Raw genomic sequence first — 25,539 nt, 5'->3', positions numbered from 1 at the left:
AATGAATGGTTTGCCCCTGTGAGTCCAACAGATCAGACACGGCACTGTCAAGACAGCACTGCCCTCACCAGATGGAGGGAAGAATTAATAGTCTGTACCTGCCAAACGCGTGGTCCATGATGTGACCACTCAACCCCACAGCCAAAGAGAGCAAATGACCACATTGCTGGGCCTCAGAAGGGAACCTGCGAGGCTTATCTCATTTAATTGGGAATGACGGTATGAACAACGCAGCCCGCTAAGTGCAGCAACAGAAACGAGAAGGAGGCTGGGCTGGAGATGACAGCCACAAGCAACCACGAAGACAGGATGACACCCACAAGAATAGACAGACAAGAAAACTAAGTAGCAGTTTGAGGGGTTTCCTCCCTGTGTTACCAAGTCCAGTCCCTCACACACCCACAAGGTCTAAACCACAGAAAAAACCCATATAATTCCAATGTAAATGTCACCACTGTTGGGTGGAAAAAAAGTTCATGACCTGGGTACCAGGGAAAAAAGGCATCAGAAGAACTCAATGTTATATTAAGATGAAAGTACTGGATGTATTTAAATATATATATTTTACTTTTGTCATCAGATTACAGATGATAAATACAGATTTTCAAACATACAGAAAATAATGTAACAGACACCTAAGAGTTTAAAGCAATACTGACATTTTGCTCTATTTACCTCATCTATTTAAAATTAAATATTTTATTTTGAAAATTTTTTCAGACCTACCAAAAGATTACAAGACTATTACAATGAAATCTGATATACCCAGCACTTAGATTCAACCAGTGTTAACACTCTGCCATACACCCTCTCTCTCTATGCATATATAATATATCCTTTACTTTTCTGAACCGCTTGGGAGTTAGTTGCAGAGATCATGACCCTTTACTCTCAAAAGTGTGTGTCTTCTAAAACAAGGACATTCTCTTTAAATAATCTAGTGCAATTACTAAAGTTCTTAAAATACCAGATACAAGCAATTATCTATAGTCAGATCTCCCAAACGAGCCTTTATAGCAACTGTTTTCATCCAAGCAGGATCCAGTCCTGCCCTACACATTGCATTAGTTGTCCTATCTCTGTAGTCACCTTATCCTGGAACTTTCTCTGTCTTTCTCTGTCATTTGCGACCCTAATGTGTGTGGCGAGCACCACCTGTTTAATGCAATGCTCTTCATTTTGGGTCTGTCTGATTGTTTCTCCAAACTCCAATCCAGATTCTGCATTGCTGGCAGGAATCCCGAGGAAGGGCTGTGGGTCCTCAGGACAGCACCCTGGGAGCATTGGATGACCTTTCCCCCATAACTGGGTGACATCAGCTATGGTGGGCACTTAGTCAAGGTGCTGCCTGCTAGGTCTCTTCTGCCGTAAAAGTGCCTTTCCCCCTGTGCAATGATAAGTGGTCTGTGGAGGGATCCTCGCAGACAGGGTCAATATTGTGTCCCAGAACACACTTTCACCCAGTGGTGAATCAAATACTTTAAATGTGGTTGCAAAATAAGTATTTTTTTTCCAACTTGATTTGCTCCTTCTACATGTATTAGTTGCAATGGATTAAGAAGAGCTTTCTCTTGATTTTTTAGTATCAATATGGACTCACGTAATCCTTTGTTATTCAATATTTTATAATCCATTACTGTTATTCACTCTGATGTTCAAATGGTTCCTATCAAACTAGCTCCTGTGTCCTTCGACATGTTCCCCTCAGTTCCTGAGCAGTCCCATGGATCCTGGTACAAAATGTTCTGGGCTTGTCGTCTACTTTCTGTTTCCACTCTGCAACTGGCCATTTCTGCAAAGAGCTCTGGGTTCCTTTTGGTGGGTAAAGAAATTTTAAAACCATTATTTGGGTGCTCGATGTGCTCCTTGTTACTAAGATGCCATTGTTCCTAGGCCCTTCAGCAGAAACTAGAAAAGAAATCTTTTATAAAAAATTGTAAACTGAGATGGAAACTTTTACTTCTAATCCACTACCACTGGGTTCTTCTTCATCTTCCCCCATCCCATGTTTGTTCTTTCTTCTTTCACAGTGAGAATCCTGGCTCCCAACAGTATCTATAGTTATTCATTTACTCAATCCCAAACTGTACACAAAATAATTTCAGAATTCTTAAAGCAAAGGTAGTTTCTGATTTTTGTTTTAAACGGTTTAGTCTGGACACTATGTCAACAACTATCTGGGGTCAAGAACAGAAGCAGAGACCAGACAGGAATCTATTGCAATAACTCAGGAGATGGTATGAAGATACAGTCACAGCACATGTCTGCAAGGAATCTCTTCTATCACTTCTAGGTCCCAGCCTGGTACAGGCCAAAGATTGTGGTTCCATGAAATGACCATGAATGCAAAAAGCTAGATGGAAGGAAGAAAAGAAAACCAAATATCTCTGCTATACAACTATTGATATGTTCACAAACGTGTTCTGCAAAGCCACGAAAATAACAGTGCTTCTGGAGCATATAGGTTTGGGGCAGATCACTCAAAAATCTATGCAATTTTTTTTTAAACCAACAGCACTAGAATCCTGATAAAAACATGCTTGCACAATTAAGGGGTGTATAAAGAAAGGTTGAGGCTGCCAAGTTACACATATAAGGACTAAATGCACAAAGAGCAGAGAGTACTGTATAACAGCATTTCTAAGATGGAACACATGGTCAAACAAAGCCAAGGGGAAAGCGGGGCATCACGTACACGCTATAGTCCTCTTTGGCTTGCTTCATCCACATGTTGTTACTTGATGGCACAAATCATTCACATGTTGGAAAAAATCACATATAACCAATGTGATTAGTTACACTGATATGATATTATGTTGATATCATTTCCCCTATGTACTGATCAGACATATGAGCTCCTTTCCATCACAGAATCAGGGGGAGACGGTATTTACTGAATACTACTATAAGACAGGAATTAGATTCTCTCATTCAACCTAGTAAAAGAAACCTGTGAGCTAGCTATCATTATACCCATTTTACAGAGGAGAAATAAAGGCTCAGAGAGGTTAAGTAAAGTAAGACAGCTAATACTTGGTCAAGTTGCAATTCAGCCCTGAGTGTGTGGTCATACTCTTTCCCCAACACCTATGACACCCTGAGGATGAATGGCCAGGGAGGAGAGAAGGTGCAGACAGGCCATGGAGGCTGGGTGGAGTGGAGAAGGATGGGCACTGTGGAATGCCAGGCCAGCCCGTAACACAAGCAGCAGCAAGAAAGGGCCAGCACCAATCTCCCCAGAAACCTGGTCCCGAGCTCTAGGCCCAAGTTCATTAAAAACCACAGAGCTGACAAGACTAGCCACCTGCAGTCAATGGCTGGAGTGTGAGAACCCCACCCAGAGCGCCTAAGGCTACTCTGTGTGGAGTCAGAAAGACTGCTGACAGGGTGGAGGGGACTGGGCACCAGGTGGAGTTCACCTGGTGGAGACAGAAGCTGGACCCATGGAAGGAAAGGGCCAGATCAAAAAAACGACATCATCAAAAATGTCACAACAGGAATGTGACATGTGAGAGCTGGGAAGTGAATCCTTGCAGCAACCCCAGACTGGTCACACATTCACTAGAGGAAATGTGCTTGGTCTTGGTTTTTGCATTGTAAGAAATGAATGATGGAAAAAAAATGGGGGAGGGAGAAGAAGAGGGATTGACTTCAGAAAAATGTTAAAGGAACAGACTATTTAAGGCCAAGGGGCAGCTTTAATAGACTTCTTCAAGTAGAAGAAGGGTTAGAACAAAATTACTCTTCAGCTGGTCTTCACTGACACAAAGGCCTAATGTGCATGAAACAAGCAGAAATCCAGTTAGATATGGGTGAGGGGGACTGGGCACCATGGGTCACCCCTATAATCCCAGCGCTTTGGGAGGACTGCTTGAGGCCATGAGTTTGAGAACAGTCTGGGCAATAAAGTGAGACCCCGTCTCTACAAAAAATTTAAAAATTAGCTAGGCACGGTGGCGTGCGCCTGTGGTCCCACCTACATGGGAGTCTGAGGCAGGAGGATCACTTGAGCCCCAGAGGTCAAGGCTGCAGTGAGCCGTGTTCCCATCACTACACTCCAGTCTGGGCAATATAGAGAGACACTGTCTCAAAAAGAAAAAAAAAAAAAGATATGGAGGAGGGACTTTTAGCTTAAAGGGGAAAAGTTAGGTAAGTGTTCTATAAATAGAGGTTCTCTGGAGTCTTTATTCCTGAATGTTGCTTTAAAAAAGATTCTATTAGATTCAATAGACATTCGGTTTTCTCTTTTACTTCCCAGCAACTTACTTAACCTCTCTGAGGTTTTCTTATTAGTAAAACCTCACAGAATTCCCAGGAGGATTAAATAAAATGTCTGCTATAGTACCAGCACACAGTTAAGAATTCAGTAAATGGGAACTAGTATTTTTATTTCTTTGTCAGGCAACATGGTAAGCACTGGAGATAGAAGAATGGAGGGCTCCCTTGTCGCATCCTCTATTACTTTCTTCCATGCACTTATCATGAATTTCATATTTATTTGTTTACCCATCTGTCTTATCCTCTACAATACTAGAGCAAACACATCATGAAAGCAGGCCTCCTTGGATAACTGGGATCTTAGATTTAAAGGGGCCACAGCCTGAAACTAGATCCAACTTCATTAAGTCCTTCTGCATCATCTCTCCCTCAAAGATGCCTTTTAAAAGCTGGATTTTGTAGTTCTTGCGACAAAGAAACCCTTTTGTGTAGGACAAGGCCTTGAGTGTTTAAATTCAGTACTGAAACAAAGATTAGTGACTCTGGCAACATGAAAAGGACTTACAATGACTGTTACTATTATGTAGACAACTGGTCATGAGATCTCTTTGCAAACAAGGGCATTCTAAATAGACAAAAACTCATGACAGATGCAGATGCTAGAGTGGCAAACACTTTTTCAAGGAACCTCAAAAAAGAAAAGGGACATCCACACTTTTTCATCAGAGCTGGGTATTTAATGCCACATGGCCTTTATACCAGGAGCACGCCCTCCCCAGGGCTCCATTCTTCCCGTTTCTACACGGGGCAACAGAGCACAGGTATTCTCCCTAAGGCACTCAGCTCAACTGTGTGGCGCTTAACCCAAAAAGCATTCACTGGGCTATTATGTACATGGTACCATATGCAATGCAAGGGATTCAAAGATAAAGAAGACTTGGTCTCAGCCCTCCAAGGGCTTACAGTCCAGTGGAGGCAGCCAAGGATATAAACCACCAATTATTGTAGATGAAAACAAATCACATAAGGGTAATGACTGAACCATGACAAATGTTCGTACTCAAAGGAGGAGAGAAGGGAACCTAGGCTTGGAAAACAGCGCAAGAAAACACTGAGTCCTTAAAGCTGACAGCCCATTTAAGACAGGAAGCAGACCACTGTGTCTGGAGCACACAGTCAAGCTGGGGTCAGATAAAGGACATCCTGGGGTGACAGACTGGGAAGTCCAGACTTAAATTTATGAGTAAAGGCAAGGAGGGCTTGGTAGGTGAGGGTGAGGAGCTGTGTTTTGTGTTTTCAAGTCCCCAGTGGTACTATAATCCATACACCCATGTTCCTAATGACCAGCTGAGGCTGCAGTGCTGAACTGAGGGTGAGGTTGGTGGTGGCGCTTAACAGACTAGGCACCCTCCCCAGCAGGAATCCAAGGGGTAGGGAAGATAATCCTAGGGCAGCAGAGCCGGAGACCCAGCACAAACCAGCAGCTTCTGAGCTGGGCTGTGAGCTTGCCCCACGCAGTCCTGTGTCCCGCAGACACACGACAGGAAGGGGCAGAGAGCACACAGCAGTGCCTGAGAACCCAGGCTCTGGAAAGAGCAATGCACTCTAGCCCCACTCTGTGTGCCCCAGACACATTCCCCAACCCCAGCAGCCCCAGGTCGTCACCTGTCAAAGGGCCAAAACAGGATTAGGGGATGTTTAGCAGCTAACCTGCGCTGAGTGCTTCCTACGTACCAGACACCGTTCCAGTGCTTCGAGCGCTAATTTATTTAATTCTCACCCTGTGACACAGGTGAGAATTCTATTACTGCCCCATTTACTGACAAGGAGGCTAGGCACTGAGAAATTCTGTAACTTGTCCAAGGTCTCACAGTCAATGTGTGCCATGCCAGAATTGGAACCCAGGAAGTCTGGCTTTATAACTCATGCCTTAATCATTATTCACATTTCCTAATAAATAATATTTGCTAGTTGACTAAATGTAAACAGGAAACAGAGGGCTCAGAAGTGAAACAACTAGGGTTTTTTGAAAAAAACATTTTAGCTTAAAAAAATTAATTAAAAAATAGTTAAGATGGATTTCAGAAGGAAGGGGTATTTCATAAGCCAAGGAAAACAAGCGGAGACCTGTCAGTCTCTCTAGGATCAAACATCCCAGGCCAAAGAAAAAGGTGGGCACTGGGGAGGGAGGGGGCAGTCACCAGACACCGCCAAGTGTCACAGTGAGCCCAGAAATGTGTGTCTCATGAAATCCCAGTGTAAATAGGGAACTACAAGCTAAAACAATGAGATGGCATTTTAACCATTAAGATTGGCAAATTTAAAACTCTGAAAGTATTAAACATTGGTAAAGAAGTAGGGCGGGGTTGGCCTATATTGGTGATGGGAGTGTAAACTGGTATTCTGGAAGGCAGTTGAAAGTGTCTTTTAAATTTAAAATGTGCACAACTTTTGTCCCTCTGATTTCAAACCCCACTAGAACAACGGTTCTCAAAATGTGGTCTGGAAACCCTGAAACCTGAGACCTTTTCAGGAGGTTCACGACATTAAAACTATGTTCACGATACTACGTTGTTACTTACCTTTCTACTCTCGTTCTCTCATGAGTGTATGCAGTGCAGTTTTGGGGGCTACTGATGTGGGATATTACAACATAATGAATGAGAATCCAGAATCCAGTCATCTACTATGAAATGAAATATTAAGTAGATTTTCAAAAATAGAAAATAATGCTATTCTTATTACTAAGTTTTTGTTTTATAATTATTTTTCATAAAAATATGTTATACCTGAACATGTAATGGGTTTACTTTAAATCAATTAATAAATATTTTTAAGTCTGTCAGTTTTAATTTCTAATATGATAAATACCAATAGACAACAAAATCTCTTTGGAATTCTCAAGAAATTTTAAGGGTGTAAAGGGGTCCTAAGACCAAAATGTTTGAGAACCACGGCTCTAGAGAAACACATTCTGCACAAAGAAGCACATGCAAGGATGTTCATTAAACCACTGTTTGTAGTAGGAAAAAGTGGAATGAACATACTAGCCCATAAACAGACGGTTAAATGAATTGAGGTATAGTCACATGATGGAAAATTGTGGCACATTTAAAAAGATGAGGCAGATCTGCATGCACTAACATGAAGATATCTCTGGGACATATTAAAGATAAATGAGCAAACTGCAAAAAAATGAGCACTGTAAAAGAATATGCACTAAACAGGAACAGTAGTTACCTCTGGGGAAGAAACTGAGATTGAGGTGTGTCCATAAAAAAGGGCAGGGCTTTAATGTTTCCTCTTACTGTCTGAACTTCGACATATATAGACATTTGGCAAATTAAAATTAACCTGGAAAACTCCCTCCACTGCCACACCAGCAGTAAGGTGAGGGGACCTCCTGGGGCTGATGCAGTGAGCACCCCAGGACAGCCATGGGGTACCCATGAATGGGCCTGTCTCATTAGCTGAAGCACCAAGTCCATGTATAGCCTATTTATCCTTCATACTGAAATATTCACCACTTTCTGAACCGATCTGGAAGTTGTAATCTTTTTCAAAGCATTTCTACTCTATTTAGCCCATCCATTATTTATTACAGCTTCCCACAATTACAAGAACAGCAGTAATAGAACTTCTGACCAACCAGCTATAAATTGAGGATTCCTACAACCCCTTCCTATGGTTCATTCATTTGCTAGAGTGACTTACAAACTAAGGCAAACCCTTTACTTACTATTGGCAATTTACGAAAAAGGATCTTTTAAAGGATACAAATGAACAGACAGGTAAAGAGATACACAGAGCGAGGTTCAGAAGGGTCCTGAGTGAAGGAGCTTCTGTCCCCATGGAGTTGGGATGCACAACCCTCCCAGCGTGGATGTAACGTGGATGCCCTCGGAACCCTCTCCCTGGGTTTCTATGCAGGCATGGTTGATTAGATCATGAGCCACTAGTGATCAACTCAGGCTTCAGGCCCTCTCCCCTCCCGTGAGGTCAGGGGTTGGGGCTGAGAGTCTCAACCCTCTAATCACATAGTTGGTTCCCTTGGCAACAAGCCTGGCTCACAAGGCTATCCAGGAGACCACTGCCATCAGTGACCTCATCAGCAGAGTGCTGGGAAACCAAAGACCAAATAAATATTTATTATATATCAAAATAGTGTTCCTCATAACTACAATATTTTAAAAGGTCCAATAGTGAGATAGCCTGACAAGTTTCCAGTAAGGATCCTGCTGATAATGATGCTCTTCCTATAATTCAAGAGCCTTTTAAATATCTGATATATTATGAGAAATTAATCTGCTAAGGCGATGTGACAATTGGTGCCAAGCAAGTCACTCACTTAGATTGCTGAGCTTCAGTTTCCCTGTCATGATTCTAATATTTTATAACTTTAATTTACCTAGGTATCTACTCACATCTAAAAACAAGCCAGTATGAAAGCAGTGACAAAATGGATGGTCTGGTATTTTCATGAAAATTAATAGACCAGTGGAACAATATAAACAGCCCAAAAATAGGCTCACTTACTTGAGTTGACTATATGATTGGGAAATCATCAAGGATCAATGAATAACGAACGGGTTCCTCAATAAATGACAATGGGGGGATTATCAGCTAGAGTCTTGACTTATAGCACCAAAAGAACAAAACAGACTGTAGAGGTAAATGTTCAAATAAAATCATTAAAGATCATTTTAAAAAACTGATAGACCTAAGGATGGGCTATGACAGTCTAATCATAATGCAACTGAAGAAATAATTAAAAGATGGGTAGTTTTGATGACTTAAAATAACTTCTGCTTATCAAAACTTATACTGTAAAGGTTACTGAGGGATGGCTGTCAGGGGAAATGGGGATGGTTAATGGGCATAAAAATAGAATGAATAAGATCCAGTATTTGATGGCACAATAGAGTGACTGTAGTCAATAATAATTTAATTTTACATTTTAAGATAACTGAAAGAGTACAACTGGATTGTTTGTAACGAAGGATAAATACTTGAGGAGATGGATACCCAATTTCTCCTGATGTGATTATTACACATTGTATGCCTGTGTCAAAATATCTCACATACCCCATGAATATATACCTTTACATACCAACAAAAATTAAAAATTAAAAAACAAAAATGCTTAACATAAACAGAATTCAAAGGAAACGGACAACCGGAAAAGAAAATACAATAAAGGCTAGCTAGAAAATATTTGAAACATAGAAATAGTTAATAAAACCCATTGAGAAACCAACATCCCCTTGGAAAAATAAGCAAAAGATAAGAACAGACAATTCACAGAATTATATAAATGGAAAAAATACATACGAAAAAACATTCAATGCCGTAACTGAATAAATGCGACTTAAAACAATGGCACACCTTTGTTCACCTATTAAGCTGTGGACGATAATCCACTAACTTTTGCCAGCTGTGGGGAAAGCCACTCCTTCAGCTGCGGGGAGAAGTATCCATTGGGGGTCTATCCAGAGGGCAACCCAACCACACCAGTCAAATCTTAAAAATGTCTATGTATACTTTGACCTTGTAATTAGAATTATACAATCACTTGAAATACTGAGATCTTTAGAGAGGTGGTTTATTATGTACAGGAGTGTTCTTCACAATGCTATTTATATTACAAAACTTGTGAAACAGTTAAATTTTGACACGTGCACAACATTCCATGTCACTGCCAACAAAAAAAATCATGTACAACAATTTAGGAACATGGTAACATGGCCTTGACTTAGTGTTTGGTTTTTCAAGAATAGTAGTTATCCCTGGTAGTATTATAGATGTACTGCTATTTTCTCTTCTGTATTTTCCATATTTTCTACAGTAAGTTTTATCTTTATAATGATATAATATACATATATAAATATTTATATTTTAAAAAGGAGTGTGAGCTTTATAGAGAATTTATTAAAAAACAACAGCGTCCCCTCCCCACCACCCCTTTCACCCCCCACAGAACTAGGTGTGCCTGGTACCAAGCAGATGGTAGATTCTCTTTAGGCCCCCTTCTCCCCAAGTAACTAATGTCTCCCTGCTGCCCCCAGAAACCCCACAGCATGCAGCGGGGCCTGCCTCGCCCAGAGTTCCTAGCTTAGCCAGGGCAAATGCCCCCAAATTGCCTCCCTTTCTCCACTTTGGACCAAGCTCTCGCTGCCTCAGTTAGGGGTTTGACAAGGAAGCAATCCAAGAAAGCAACCAGCTGCAGAAAAAAGGTGTTTGCATGGTTTTTTAAAGGGATGTTGCTAATCCAAACCTAGAGTCCATGAAGGTCCTAAGGCCTATTTTCAGGTTTTATCTATCTGTCTATATATTTTGAGAAGGAGTCTCGCTCTGTCGCCAGGCTGGAGTACAGTGGCATGATCTCAGCTCACTGCAACCTCTGCCTCCCGCGTTCAAGCGATTCTCCTGTCTCAGCCTCCCAAGTAGCTGGGACTACAGGCATGCGCCACCACACCCAGCTAATTTTTGTATTTTAAGTAGAGACGGAGTTTCATCACGTTGGCCAGGATGGTCTCGATCTCTTGACCTCATGATCCGCTCGCCTTGGCCTCCCAAAGTGCTGGGATTACAGGTGTGAGCCACTAGAAATGTGTAGCACCTCCCCCCATTCTCTCTTGCTCCTGCTCCTGCCATATAAGACGTGCCTGCTCCCTGTTTGCCTTCCGCCATGACTGTGTTTCCCGAGGCCTCCCCAGAAGCCAAGCAGAAGCCACTAGGTTTCCTGTACAGCCCACAAAACCATGAGCCACATAAACTTTTCTTTAAAAATAACCCAGTCTCTGGTATTTCTTCATAGCAATGTGAGAGCTGCCTAATACTTCTATGTATCAAGTTTTTTTCTTTTTTTTTGAGACGGAGTCTCGCTCTGTCGCCCAGGCTGGAGTGCAGTGGCGCGATCTCGGCTCACTGCAAGCTCCGCCTCCCGGGTTCACGCCATTCTCCTGCCTCAGCCTCCTGAGTAGCTGGGACTACAGGCGCCCGCCACCACACCTGGCTAATTTTTTGTATTTTTAGTAGAGACAGGGTTTCACCGTGGTCTCGATCTCCTGACCTCGTGATCCGCCCACGTCGGCCTCCCAAAGTGCTGGGATTACAAGCATGAGTCACCGCGCCCGGCCGATATGTATCAAGTTTTAAGGACACATGGTCCCTGCCCTAAATGAACTTACAGTATTCAACAGATAAGTATGCAAGTAATTACCTAACTTCAAGTTATGGTAAATGTTAGGAAGGAAACTTACAGTGTTAGGAGAACATGTATCATGAAGTTCTACTTAAAGTTGCAATTCTACCCCCTGAAGGAGGCCCTTTCTTTCTTAAAACCAAGAGCACATCAAAATGCTTCTTCCAAACTTCTAATGCAGTCACATTTTGAGGGAGTCAGAGCTGGATAGTGTACAGGGCAGTGGTTTTTTTTTTTCTTCCACTTATTTCAAATAGGAACGCAGGAATGCAAAACTATTCGGAAAATGATGTCATCCTTCTGGAAACTGATACTGCTGCGACTAGTCTCCTTTCCTTTTAATGCTGGGAGGAGAGAAATATTTACGAAGATTTTCATGCAAACAAGCTTTATGTGTGAGTAGAAATTTTGAAAGAAAGTAAATGTCCATCATTAGGGGACTGCTTAGATGAATTGTAAGTATATTCTAAGCTATGGAATACTGTTCTATTATAAAACAGTGAGGTGACACCTATGTACTGGCACGGAAAGCTCTCCAAACATACTAAGTGAGAAAAAGCAAGCCACTATGGTATGACTCGATTTGTTTTAAAAAATAAAATAAGGTGTACACGTTATGCTAATGCAGACAAAGTACAGCAATAAGGCTGCACAAAGTGTCCACCTACCTTCAGCACATAGTGAAAGAGATTTATGAATCCTTTACCATGATGATGTATTTAGCTACTACTTGTACAAGAAAAATATTAACAAAGTAAAACATGTATCCAACAGTAGACTCTCTGGACAGCATGCATCCTTCTGGAGGGGTTAGGAGTCTCTCTTGGCTCTTTGGTTTAGTGTGAGTTGAAGATGTTCTATTATAGGACCTATGCCATGAGACCCTAAATATTGGCCCACTCTGATAGACAACCCTGAAAAGAATCGATCTGCTTTGCCAGCTGGTACATGCTAAAAAGCAGCCTGAAGATATTCCCAAAGACAGGTCTAAATTCAGCCACAACAGAGCAGATAACTTAAGCCACCCAGCCGCTGACTCAGTTGCAGGAAATGAAAGGGGAACTCCAAGCAAACTATATTGGAAGCAGCTGCAGTTATATCTATCCTTTGACTCACTGGGGCTGGCCCAATGCCTGCCCTGTAATGATAGCAAAAGAGCAGTGCTAACTCAGAAAGACTAAGTCCTTCTCTACCCAGAACGGTGGCTGCCCACTAAGAGGTCAGTGGGTGAGGGAGGCAGGGTCCCCGGCTGACCAGACACCCTTTCCCTAGTAGACTACTGGCTGCCCCAGCTCCCCACCTGGTCCAGCCAGCCAGAAACATCCTGGCAGGAGACACGGGCTCTCCTTCCCAGGGGATATGTGCCACATGAGGCACCAGGGAATCAAAGCAGCCCCTGACGCCTCAGGCCTTGTACAGCCCTAAGCGCAGGGCACAGGAGGCCCTGTCAAAAGACCCCTTAAACATGAATCCCATTCAGAGTCTGGTCTGTTGATAGTTTTGTCTTCAACCAGGCTGCTGTAAGAAAATCCCACAGACTGGGTGGCTTAAACAACAGTTATTTTCTCACAGCCTGGGAAGTTCAAGATCAAGGTACCAGCAGATTCGGTGTCTGGTGAGAGCTCTTTTCCTAGTTTGCAGATGGCCCCCTTCTCCCAGCGTGCTCACACACCTTTCCTTGTGGCCGCACTTGTGGAGAGAGGAAGAGGGAAGAAGAGAGGAAGGGGGGTAGTGGGAGAGAGAGGGAAAGAGGGAGAGAAGGAGGAAGAGGGAGGGGGGAGAGGAAGAGGGAGGGGGGAGAGAAAGAGGGATTTCTTCTTTTTCTAAGGGCATCCCATCATGAAGGTCCCACTCTCATAATCTCATCCAAACCTAATTACCTCCCAAAGGGATCTCCAATTAGCATCACATTGGGGATCAGGACTTCGACATATGAATTTTGCGGTTGGGAGACACAAACATTCAGTCCATAACTGCAGCACACTAAGGGAATTCATAACTTTAGAGAAATACTTCTAGAATTTCAGAGCTTGAAGGTCACGTCATGCAATCATGCTTATATTCTACACAAAGCTGTCGCCCAGCCATTTCCTAAACCTCTCCCCCCATCAATGAAATGTGCAGCACTTCTAGAGGCATCTGAGAGTAGATGTGTTAGAAATGAAGGGCCTCAAGGCACTGTCTCCCAGCAGCTTGCACAAGGTGACACCCATAGGGTACCCAAGCCACACAGATCACACTCATCCTTCTTCCACAGTACACCATTCTGCACTCTGAACACAGATTCTTCCTCATCACAAAAATAACATAAAAAAGAATCTGAGGCACACGCAATATAACCTGAGCTTATAAATCAAGTGGGACAACTTACCTATCATGACGATGTGCATCCTTTACTGCTATCATCAGAGGCAGGTGTCTGGGAGGTGGCCAGGACAGGCCTGACCCAGGACAGCACTTGTATCATTAAATGGCACTCAGAGGGCGCACTTCCAAGCAACTGGGACCCTTATCCAGAACACTCCGTCCATTCCCTCAGCACAGCCACTCTGGGAGAGTTCCCTAGTGTGCTCTGGCACTTCCTTCACTAAATTCCTATGGAGCACTTGTTGAGGGCAAGACATGGTAGAAGACAAGAGGAAGGAAAAATGAGGGCTGGTGAAACCACTGATTCTCCCTTCTCTGGCTCCCACCACACAGCCTTTCTAGCCCAAACTCACAATTAAACTGTCTTTTGCTGTGTGTCACTTATTTTCCCCCTACCCAGCTGAATCTCAGAGGAGGCACACCTGCAGTATTTTAGAAAGGCTGACTAGAAGTATCAGGCCTAACCAGACAGGTGCACATTTTAGTTCTTACATTCAATCCTTAGTATCTCACTGTCCAAAAGCCTTCAAAATGCTCCCAGGCACAACTCAGAAGAGTCTCCTTGCCACTCCCTCAGGAGGGTTTCTGCTTGTAATTCTCACTATCACAGGGCACATCTGGACCAATGAGTGGCTGCCGCAAAGACTACCAAAGTTGCCTCCACCTTGACCATGGCACCAGCCTTGCCATGCCCCTCCAGACCACATCACTTCTGCAGTGACCCTCAACCTGTGATTGTGGGCAGCCAGACCAAGATCTGGTGAATGAGCAAGGCAGAGTCCCTTCTGCTCTCTGTCCCCAACACAGTCCCCACCAGCCCAGGTAGCCCCACACCAGTGCCTACCATGCAGGACCTGCGTGAACTGCTGTGGGAGGGAAGGGGCCAGAACCTCTGAGGAGTGGACGCTTCACCTGCAGCCACCATGCTGGCACCCAGCAGGGCTTGATAAAGATCAGCCTGCTGCTATGCCCATGGGTCTCTGTGGCCCAGGCAGGCTCAGTCCCTCTTTTCTGAGAGGAGCCCAGTGGGCTGAACTACTAAGAGAAAAGGCCAAAGACCAAACGGAAGCCTTTAATATGAAGCCAAGTATTTTATCATATGAGGACATTCCCTCTCTCTAACCTACAACACTCCCACCCCCACAGAGAACCTGCTCTTAAATCTAAAGCACAATCCATGCACATTTCTTGATTTAATAGATTTTCTTTAAAGTAAAAAATCATTTATTTAAAGGAAAAATCGCCACAAAGTTTCAACTTGAACCCTATTTTATCAAACAACAGTTGACAGAAAATTTAATTTTTGGAAAGTAACTGGAAAATATAATTTATTTTACGCTTGAGGGGATTTTATATCAAAAGAGATGAATTCTTATATATACTAGTTTATCATACAGGTGGAAAAAGGAAAAACATGTAATTACAGCTGATTTTCTCGTTTCTAATTTTATACACACACACACCACCCCCCCAACACAAACAGGAAAACAATGGGATTTGCTATGCCTTCTTTCATGTGGAGCCCCTGGACCCTTACTTTGGCTCCCACCTCTCCATGTGACGGTGCCACTAAAGCTCCAGCAGCCACATGTTGTCTCACACGTCTCAGCTTCAGCCAACACTGCTCCACACACTTGGAATCCTGCCTCAGGGGCCAACTCTGCCCTGAAACTCTCACTGTTCATGAGTCAGAAGAAACCCCTCCTTCTGCCTTTCCACAGCATCAGGCTTTAGTACACACTTCTGACACTGCCCAGGTTCCATGAATCCTGCATTAGGAGGGTTATGCGTTCAACTTCTCTACTAGACCGTGCTTCCAGAGGAAAGATTCTTATGTCCTACGTGTGTCTGACACCCCATTGCCAAGGTACAGCATCATGCACATAACAATCAATTAGCAAGGTCTGATGATGCCAAAAGCTATCACCTTTAATTCACAACAAATGTTTATAGAGTAGTTTCAATCTCCATGCAAAACATGCATAGACAGGTTATAAAGCTCTGTGTTAAGTTCAACAAAAGAGTATTCCAAGCACCAGAGAGGGAAGCAGTAATTATCAACAGAGGAAGGATGAAGCCATGTTTTAAGTCTGCAGGCCTTATCTCAGTGTCTTCCCGGGGCCTGAGTTCACTGGCCAATATGGTGGGCAAAGTGCCAGCTCCATTTCAATTACTTCATTCTCCCTTTATTGCTGTTCTTTTTTTTGGTTTGTTTTTGGCTGAGTGCATACTACTAACTACACAAAATTAAATGCTGCATGACATGATCCCTCCCACTGTACCAACTCCATGTATTAATCTATGTACCTCTCCCCTCTTCTCAAAAGCCCTTCTTCTGGTTTTATCTAAATGTATACCTAATCTAATAGGTCTTCCCTGGTCCTGTTAGCTTCATCCCACATGTCTGTCCTCCCCTGGAACTCCTGAAAACACTTCAGAAAACATGGGAGTCTGCTTGACAGCTCCTCACCCAAGTGCCTGCCAACCTTCACCAGCCTGGAGCTCATAGCTCAACACCTGGCTGGGTGCTGAATTACACACAGCTGAATGACTTACCTGCTAACAGATACCTTCTAGTGCCCAACTGCATAGTAAACTGCCACAGGGCAGGGAGAGGGCAGGGCAAGAACAAGGTCTCAAAATCCTTTCCCATCTCCCTCAGCACACAACAGTGCTATGCACACAGCATGAGCTCAAACTCTTGCTAGTTAAAACCACTCCCAATACCCCAAAAATACCTCTCAGACAGCCCACCAATTTAGACGTATCTAAGGCATTACAGGTACAGGTGCCTTAGGAGTCCCTCTAGTACATGTGCTAGAGGTGGAGATTGGTCACAGAGGGTGACTAACTCCTTCCTCCTGCCTTTCTGTCCCAACCAGGTACCCAAGACTTGCACCTCCAAGACAGGGATCATGCCTCTTTTACTCCCGGGTCCTTGGAGGTCAGCACCGAGTTCAGCACACAGCCAGTACTGAAGGAGGAATTGACCAAAGGGAGAGATTATCTCCAGGACTCATGCTACTTGGTGGTTTTGCTTTCAGCTGGAAGCCTCAATCCACTGTCAAATGGAAACTTAAAGAACATCCCGATGACTATGCCTGCGCAAAGAGCAGGAAAACTAAAAACTATTTTCCACAATGAATTTGGCAACTTCCTGCCAAGCTGAACAACTTAGTGCTGCAGATTGCAAAATCACACTCATAGTCATTCTTTCCTAATCAACTATTCCCTCAACTTCACAATTCCCATCACCACCAACACCACACTCCACTCACCCAGACATACAACCTCCGCAGCACGTTTGACCAGTACTGCCGTTCATGGCCTATTAAATACTAGGTACTCAAGTGCTGCTTATTTACTCCTTGATCGCACAGCAATCACCCACCCATTTTCTTCCACTCTTCACACCCTCTGTGCACAAGACCTCAGCCGATGCCTTGCTCTCTGGCACCCAGCCCTCCAGGCCCCATCCTCTCACCTTCTTCCCAGACCCTAAATGCCACCATCATTCAACCAGTCTGTCCTCTGCTCAAACAATAACTTCACAGTTCTGAAACCATCAGCCTACACTCTTCTGTTCCAGGCTGACCCAGGCCCATATTCACTCTCAGACTCCAGGAACTCTGACTTATCCTCCTGCCTTGGCTAGGAGAGTCACTGTGTCTCTCTTTCCAGGAACATATAACATTCTCTGCCATCTCAAAACCTTAACAAAGGTCTTACTCCTTCTTGTCCAAATCCCACCCACCCTCTGACAAAAGTTTTCCCAAAGTCCAGCCGCACTGGGTCCTCTCTCTTCCCCTGCCACAGAACTGTATTTAACCCTCCTGCGCTACCTTCCTGTTGGTTCATAAACACTCTCTCCTGTGTGGAGAGTCAGAACAGCTGATGAGGAAGGTAAGGCACGTAGCCACGTGATCCTGCCCAAACCACCAGACTTTCCAATCTCACACAACTGTTATGAAGCTCAAATGATAATTTACAGGAAGGGGACTTGTTCATCTCACATTTGTAAGACCGTCCAAGTTGAGGATCCCTCTAATGCCTGCCAAGTGCAGATATTTCCTATCATTCACAACCCTAGAGAGCTAAGATCTCAGCAAATACCAATTATATGTAAGACACTGAAAGAACACACTTCTCATGGAGCACCGGTCTTCACATCCTCCATGTAGCCACTCAGGAACTTCTCTGGTGTAAAATTTTAGGCGGCTGGACAAATATGTAGGAGACAGGGGTGAAAAACGGGGACACAGCTATTCTTGGCAAATCTGGTGGCAAGGTGCCAGTTCTAAGGGTGGAACATAAACTATAAGCCACAGTCCGATCAGAGGGGCATGAGGAACAAAAGAACTGAGGAGTAGGGATGCGAGCAGAGTAGACCAGGGTACCAATGAAACACCTGGGCAAAGAACGCTTTGGACCATAAAACTGGGGCCACTGCCCTTCCTGACGCTCACGACCATCACAGCTGGGCGTACCCAGACTCGGGCCTGTGAGCCGTAAAATCGCAGCTCACCGGGCCAGACCGGGGCGGCCACTCCCCTCCGTCCTGGGCGAGGCTTACCAATCGAGATCTCCTGCGCGAAGGCCAGCGAGATGAGCAGCAGGGGCAGCCCCACCGCAATGCACGTGACCATCTTGTCCACAGCCAGCTCCAGTCGCAGCCCCTTGAACTTGGGCTCCGTGGGCTCCTTCAGCAAGAAATCCGAGAACACGTACTCCGTGGCCAGTTGAGCGATGGCCATGGCTGCGGCGCGCCAGGCTCGACCAGGAGGTCCGGGTACAGCCGGCGTCGGGAAAGCTGCGCGGCGCCTTCACCCAGTCACCGGCCGGGCGCGCGGCTTTCGCTTTCCCTTTGCCTGCTCCCGCATCCCGCCTGCCTTTGTGTCTCGGTGCCTCAGGCTCCCAGCGACTCCGCTGGGCTCTCGCGCTCGCTGCCTCCGCCGCCGGCGGGGCGGGGCGGGGCGGGAACCCGAGAGCTCCGCTTCCTGCGGTTCCACCCCGCACGCCCGTGCAAGTCCCCGGGCCGCGCGCGGCACTCGGATTCGCGCCTCTCCCGCGCACCCCCAGGCGCGGGAACCACGCGCGGAACAAAGCGCTTCCCTCTGGCCCTGCCCCTCCGCGCCGCCCTGGCTGCCGAAGCGGCCGCCGGGATAGCCCTGCGCTCACAGCCAGCTGCGCCGCGCTCTTCCGGAACCATGCGGGGAAACCAAGTACCCAGGGGCGTGGAGCTTCCGGAAGACGCGGTGACGCGGGGCGGGGTGGGCGCGGCTGCATTCCGCGCCCCTCGGGCCACTCTCTGACAAAGGGATTTTCCCACTGAGCGGCACCTTTGGAAATTCTCCCGTCCCTCCCTGCCGGATTCTCCTCACGTCCTGGCACCCGGGAGTTTTAAAATCATTTCTGCAAGCGACTCTTTCTGTGGATGGGATGGCCCCCTTTACGCCCCACCCCCAACATTTCCAACACGGTGAAATCGGGTTAGAAGGAGCTGCAAAAGCTTCAAAGAACAGTCAGTGCCATAAAAGGCCAATCGAGCGGTGTAGACCGACGGTGCCTTGCAGAGGGAGCGCTGGACCCTTCCAGGAGCTCCGCGTGAGAGGGTGGCGCGGAAACGGTAGTGAGTGTGGAGTTTCGAGGCCTGAGTAGCGCTGCTGGTCCCGTTTCTCTTTCCTCTGCCATCCCAATCAGAGCCTTGTTCCGGGAGCCAGCAGAGAGAGGGGGGCCTGCAGGTAGGTGGGTGTTGGGGCTGCAGAGAGCTGCTTCTGAACAGCTCATAGGAAGTGGATGATGGAAAGACAGGAGGAAATACTCTGACCAGTGTCCACGGAAATTAAGGCTGTTGAAGTAGAAATAATTTGATTTATTGGAAGCTAAATGTGAGGATCCACCCAAGAAGACTTACCAGCAAAGTTGGGCATGTTTCAAAATTTGTTACACGTTGGAAGGGTTTTAGAAGAAAGTTTAGGAAAAGGGAGGAGGACCCCTTATATCAGAGGTGGGATTTTTTTCATCGGAGGGTATGGTACACAGGTTACAGTCACTGGCTGCAGATGACAACATACAGGCTAAAATGTTTTGTGCACAAGAAAATCAAAGTTTATATGATTCAGAAACAAGTCAGTGTTCTTTTCAATGTCAGTATTTTACATACTAATCAGTACATCAGCAGTTTGAGGAACTGACAAAAGGATTTGAAGGACTCACAGTAAGATTTTTTACTCAGGGACAGGATCTAAGCCATGAATCATAAGACCTTTCTTAGATGGCTTAGTTTGGAAGCCCTGTCAAATGTGACATGTAGGTTATCACCAGTAACATTTGAAGCAGGCAGGACCTGCAAACATGAGGGCTCCTTGGGGCAGGGCTTGGCTCCCTTCTCTGTGGGTCCACAGATACAAGCCTCAACTCCCACATGTACCTCTCCACCCCAGCCTGGCCGCTAAACACACATCCAAGAGCGTATACAGCTCTCTCCGCGTAGATGGCTCATAGGGCTTCAAACTCATAACGGCCAGGACTTCAGTCTTCATCTTCCCCTTAAACCTGAACTCCATCTTCCCCATCTTACTAAATGTACCACCAGCCACCTGTGCACCCAAGTCGGAATCCTGGAGCACCATCTTCAACACTCCATTTCTCACAGCTGCCATAACCAATTTTCAAATTCTCTTGCTTCTCTCTCCTAAATATAGCAAATCTGACACCCCTCCACCTGCACTGCCAATACCCAATTCAACTCACCATCCTGTCTCCTAACCACATATAGGAAATATGTGAGACAGGGTCCCCCTCCATTCTCCTCTACAGCTGCCAGGATGAGCTTTTCAAAACTCCAGTCGGATCATCTTTTCTACTTAAAGTGTACATTGTTTTTAGCATAAAATACAAATTTCTTAGCATGGCCTCTGCCTACCTCACCACCAGCTTCACTGCTTTCCTTTCAGTTCTTCAAGTTAGCTAAGCCCTTGGCCTCCTCCAGGCCTTCCCACCCAAAACACTCCCCACAGTGGCCTCTTTGCCTGGCCCACCTTTATTCACCCTTCTGGCCTCAGCTTGATGTCACTTCCCTGGGAAAGCCTTCCCTAAGTAGACAGACTAGATTAGGTCCCTTTGTGAAATTCTCCCATAATACTAGCCACACTAGTTACTAGCTATTAGTCTTGGGGAGTTCTTTGACTCTCCTGTGTCTCAGTTTTCTCATCTGTAAAAAGGTTGTACCTCTTAGGACTGTGATAAGGACCAAATGAGTTAACACGTGGGTAGTGCCCAGTGCCTGGCACCTTGTGAATCTAGGTACATTTCATCTGTCATTGTTCTCTATTTTTCCTTCTTAAAAATAGTCACCATTGCAACTCAACAAATATTTATTCATTTATTTAGTGTTTGCCACCACTTTATGTGATCGGCTTCTTGAGGGTAGGCCCATGCCCATGTGTACCACTTTTATCCTCAACACTTAGCACAAATGCCTCACACAGAGTTGATGTTTTAATTCATATTATTAAATAAATGTCTGAAGGAATCTGAACACTTTTTAAAACTGGCCCAGTTCACACTCATTTATCCATACATTCCAGGCATATATTAGAGGCTGGTGATGGGCCAGTTCTGGGCTCAGTGGATGGGGAAGCAGAAATGAAGTGAATGGATTCCATTTCCTCAAAGACCTTATGGCTTAGCAAGAGAAATAAGGCATGCACACAATTAACTATAATGCAAGGTAGAAAGAGTGATTATTGTGAAAAGTGGGGTATACCAAGGGAGGTGCAGAGAATAAGTAGGGCCTGGGAGAATGTGTCAGTTGGGACATTCAGAGCTGGGACAGGGGCTTTCTGGGAGTCAGGAAATCATGGGTGCCATTTCCCTTCTTTCCTTGCCAAAAGCTAATCATCCGATAGGCTCAAATGGCCCCTTTTTAGGCTCAAATGCCCCCTTTTTAGGAAGCCTTCCAGGATCCTCCAGTTGTAATGAATCCTTCCCTCCCTTGTTACTCTCTCCTCTGGCCTAGAAGTTAGTTCATTTTGCCTCCTGTGATGGGATGATGGATTGTGTATCTCTTTTTTCATTACATAGCAAGTTCCTCTGAGGATCTGGAGTGAATCTCAGCAGTTGCATAAATTGCCCTCAGTTTTGGCAATTTTTTACATTCCATATGATGTTATCCTACTTTTAATGAATTTAAAATAGAAGCCAGATGGAGAACTTGTTGGAAAATAGTGTGTCCGGAATTGATTCCTTCTGGTGGGTTCTTGGTCTCACTGACTTCAAGAATGAAGCCACGGGCCCTCGTGTTGAGTGTTACTGTTCTTAAAGGTAGTGTGGACCCAAAGAGTGAGCAGCAGCAAGATTTATTGTGAAGAACAAAAGAACAAAGCTTCCACAGCATGGAAGGGAAGCTGAGCAGCTTGCCGCTCTGGTGGCCAGCTTGTATTCACTTATTTGGCCCCGCCCACATCTTGCTGATTGGTCCATTTTACAGAGCGCTGATTGGTCCATTTCACAGAGTGATAATTGGTGCATTTACAAAACTTTAGCTACACACAGAGCACCGATTGGTGCATTTTTACAGAGTGCTGATTGGTGCATTTACAAACCTTTAGGTAGACACAGAGCGCTGGTTGCTGTGTTTTTACAGAGTACTGATTGGTGCGTTTACAAACCTTTAGCTAGACACAGAGCACTGATTGGTGTGTTTACAATCCTCTAGCTAGACAGAAAATTTCTCCAAGTCCCCATCTGACCCAGAAGCCCAGCTGGCTTCACCTCTCAATCCCCCCTCTAAACAGGACACCCCAACTGCTGTTGGGAATTGGGTGATGACTGCTCTAGCTACTTCCTGCTGGATAGGAGCAAAGAAGGGGCCCTGCAGTTGTAGTATCCTCCAGAGGGGAACTCTTTAGGCCAGTGAAAGGACCAGCGGGTCGGTCCAGGGGTCCTCGGTAGAAGTTGTTAGTTGAGCTCATTTGGGGTTCCATTGGTAAGACCATCTGTAGCTTGATGGCCTCGATCCTAGAGGAAACAAATTTAACAAGGAGTTTAAAAATACAGGGCCCGAAGGCAAGTAATAGTAAGATGGCTGCCATGGGACCTAGAAAGGGGAGAAGCCATGTTGCCCAACTCCAGAGGTTGGTATAAGAGTTTGAAAGGCATTGTCTGATTTTGGAAGCCTTTTCCTGTAAACGCCAGGTGGCATATCATACTATCCCTGAATGGTTAGTGTGAAAACAACACTCTTCCCCTAAGAAGGTGCACAGTCCTCCTTTCTCAGCAGTGAGGAGGTCTAGGCCTCGGCCGTTTTGGAGAGTCGCTGCTGCCAAAGAGTCTATTTGGGATTGTAGAATAAGGATAGATTTCGTTATCTCTTGCAAACTGTCTGAGAAATCCTTTGAGAGTGTGTGGTAGTAGGATAATGAAGTAGATAAACTGACTATTCCGGTTCCTGTAGCAGTAGCCATTCCTAACCCCATAAGTAGGGGTATTAGTTGTATGGCTCTGCACTAACAGACTTGAGCTTTGAGGGGTACTGATAGGGTCTGATTTCCTGGGGAAATGTTAATGTCGGGACTTAGAAATACTAAGGTGCAGGTGCCTTCCAGTTAGTGGGGTGGCAGATATAGTTCAACATTCCACATAAGAAGAATATACCTTGGCTGGGTAGACAGAACTGGTTGTGTATGTTATAAAGGTGTGTGAGTTTATTGTTTTCATTTTCCTATACTCCTAGAATACTTGCCAAGATAGCTGCTATGAGTGGCTGGAAAGGGGTGTTGGGAGCAAACTGAGTGGCTCCCTGTGTTCTATTTTCCCATTGGAGAAAAAACCATTTTGTATCTACTAGGAACCATTCGAGAGAGCGATTGAAAGAGGGGATGAGATGGCATTCACTAGTGGTGGGGATACTGCTGCAGGGGGTCCAGGGGTGAATGGTCATGCAGAGAGTATGTTTGCCATTACAAAACCTGGACTGTTTGTTAAGCAGGGAGGAGGTGATGATTTTGGGGGCCCCTGAGACGTGGACAAGCCGTCTGAATGGAGCTGTTTGAGTGACTTGGAAGTTACTATGATCAGTTGGGGCTTGAAGTTGTATGGTGTAATTACACTGATGTGGTAGTAGGTGCCCCAGGAGCAGACCTGATAACAGGTTGCATTGGATGCATAAAGGGGCTTGGAAAGTTAAGATGGTATTTGTAGTTACAGGGCTGTGTATGGGCTTTTCATTGCTTGTGTAATAGGTGAGGTTGGAAATGTAAGAACGCAAAAGTTGTATCGCATGTCCTGTTAGGGTATTCTTGGTCCTATCAGAGATGGGGAAGTTGGCTAATGATTGCATATTTAGAAGTCGGAAAGGGTCTTTTCCTTCAAAACGAGGGTGGTATGTTAAGTTGGTAAAGACCCAGTTTTTTGCAGGAATGGGAGGTTCTGCCTGGCAGCAATTTTGGCCTTAGCATCTGCCCGACGGTTTCCTTCTGCCTCTTCTCCCTCATCTTTCTGATGGCTTTGGCAGTGTAAGACTGCCACTTCCTTGGGGTTTTGCACTGCGTGTAATAACTCCATAATTTCCTGGTGGTATTTAATGGGGGTTCCCCCAGAGGTTAGGAACTCCCTTTCTTTCCATATTGCAGCATGAGCATGTAGGATTAGATAAGCATACTTGCTATTTGTATACACATTTATTCTTTTTCCCTTTCCCAGTTCTAAGGCTCAGGTAAGTGCTACTAGTTCTGCTAACTGGGCGCTGGTCCTTGGGGGAAGAGGCTTACTTTCAACTCTGGTTACATCACTAACTATGGCATAACGTGCCCTTCATATCCCATTTTCTACAAATGAACTTCTATCAGTATATAGGTTAAGGTCAGGATTAGCTAAGGGGACTTCTAAGAGATCATCTCGGGCAGCATAAGTCTGGACTATAATTTGTTGGCAATCATGCTCAATTGGTTCCCCATCATCTGGGAGAAAAGTGGCAGGGTTGAGGGCCATGCACGTACATATTTGAAGCACCAGTCCCTCAAGGAGTAGCAGGTGGTATCTAAGTAGACGGTTGTCTGATAGCCATAAACTTCCTTTGGCACCTAGTATGCCATTTACATCATGAGTAGTCCAGACAGTGAGATCTTTTCCTTGTATTATTTTGATAGCCTCTGACACTGAGACGGCCACTGCCACAACTACCTGTAAATGGTGAGGCCAGCCTTTTGCTACTACATCAATTTCCTTACTTAGGTATGCCACTGGTTGTGGGGTTGTCCCACGAGTCTGAGTAAGGACTCCAAGAGCTATCCCTGCTCTCTCCATGACGTATAAAGAGAAGTTTTGTCCTGTGGCAAGGCTTAAAGCTGGAGCTTGTACTAGGGCCAGCCTTAAGGTTTTGAAGCCTGTTTCTGCCCCTGCTTCCCATTCTACTAGATGAGTATTTGTCCTCTGGGTCTCCTTGATTAGAGTATAGAGGGGCCTGGCTATCTCGCTGTATCCAGGGATCCATAGTCGGCAAAAGCTGGTGCTTCCAAGGAACCCCCGCAACTGTTTTAATGTCTTAGGGCAAGGATAAGCCAGTATAGGCTGTATTTGTTCCTTGCTGAGGGCCCTGGTTCCTCTGGCTAAGATTAGGCCTAGATATTTGACCTGCTGTAGGCAAAGCTGGGCCTTCGACCTAAACGCCTTTTACCCTTGATTAGCTAGAAAGTTCAAGAGATCTAGAGTAGCCTGCTGGCATGAGGCTTCTGAACCGGTAGCCAAAA

At 45.1% G+C, this 25,539-nt stretch overlaps 1 protein-coding gene across 1 annotated transcript in view, besides 5 other annotated features; it reads right to left on the bottom strand.

Annotated features, from left to right (window-relative positions):
• PANX1 (pannexin 1) overlaps positions 1-19,015 on the bottom strand; it is a 53,128-nt gene extending 34,113 nt beyond the window's left edge. Inside the window, exon 1 of the mRNA NM_015368.4 lies at positions 18,363-19,015. Coding sequence (NP_056183.2) covers positions 18,363-18,543 — 181 coding nt within the window. The 5' untranslated portion in view covers positions 18,544-19,015. The remainder of the gene's footprint in view (positions 1-18,362) is intronic.
• Positions 11,279-11,573: an enhancer, noted in NCBI's record as "tiled region #4215; K562 Activating DNase matched - State 5:Enh". NCBI's record gives its function as "activates a minimal TATA promoter and a strong SV40 promoter by Sharpr-MPRA in K562 cells {active_cell/tissue: K562}" and the evidence as "EXISTENCE:reporter gene assay evidence [ECO:0000049][PMID:27701403]".
• Positions 14,124-14,623: an enhancer, noted in NCBI's record as "H3K4me1 hESC enhancer chr11:93866399-93866898 (GRCh37/hg19 assembly coordinates)". NCBI's record gives its function as "activates a minimal SCP1, AML or CMV promoter by ChIP-STARR-seq in naive H9 embryonic stem cells {active_cell/tissue: H9 hESC(naive)}" and the evidence as "EXISTENCE:reporter gene assay evidence [ECO:0000049][PMID:30033119]".
• Positions 18,443-18,702: an enhancer, noted in NCBI's record as "active region_5402". NCBI's record gives its function as "activates an Ori minimal core promoter by ATAC-STARR-seq in GM12878 lymphoblastoid cells {active_cell/tissue: GM12878}" and the evidence as "EXISTENCE:reporter gene assay evidence [ECO:0000049][PMID:35858748]".
• Positions 18,723-18,792: a silencer, noted in NCBI's record as "silent region_3841". NCBI's record gives its function as "represses an Ori minimal core promoter by ATAC-STARR-seq in GM12878 lymphoblastoid cells {active_cell/tissue: GM12878}" and the evidence as "EXISTENCE:reporter gene assay evidence [ECO:0000049][PMID:35858748]".
• Positions 19,023-19,082: an enhancer, noted in NCBI's record as "active region_5401". NCBI's record gives its function as "activates an Ori minimal core promoter by ATAC-STARR-seq in GM12878 lymphoblastoid cells {active_cell/tissue: GM12878}" and the evidence as "EXISTENCE:reporter gene assay evidence [ECO:0000049][PMID:35858748]".

Source organism: Homo sapiens, chromosome 11 (genome assembly GCF_000001405.40).
Source record: "Homo sapiens chromosome 11, GRCh38.p14 Primary Assembly".
NCBI lineage: Eukaryota > Metazoa > Chordata > Mammalia > Primates > Hominidae > Homo > Homo sapiens.
This window is presented reverse-complemented; position numbering and strand designations above follow the sequence as displayed.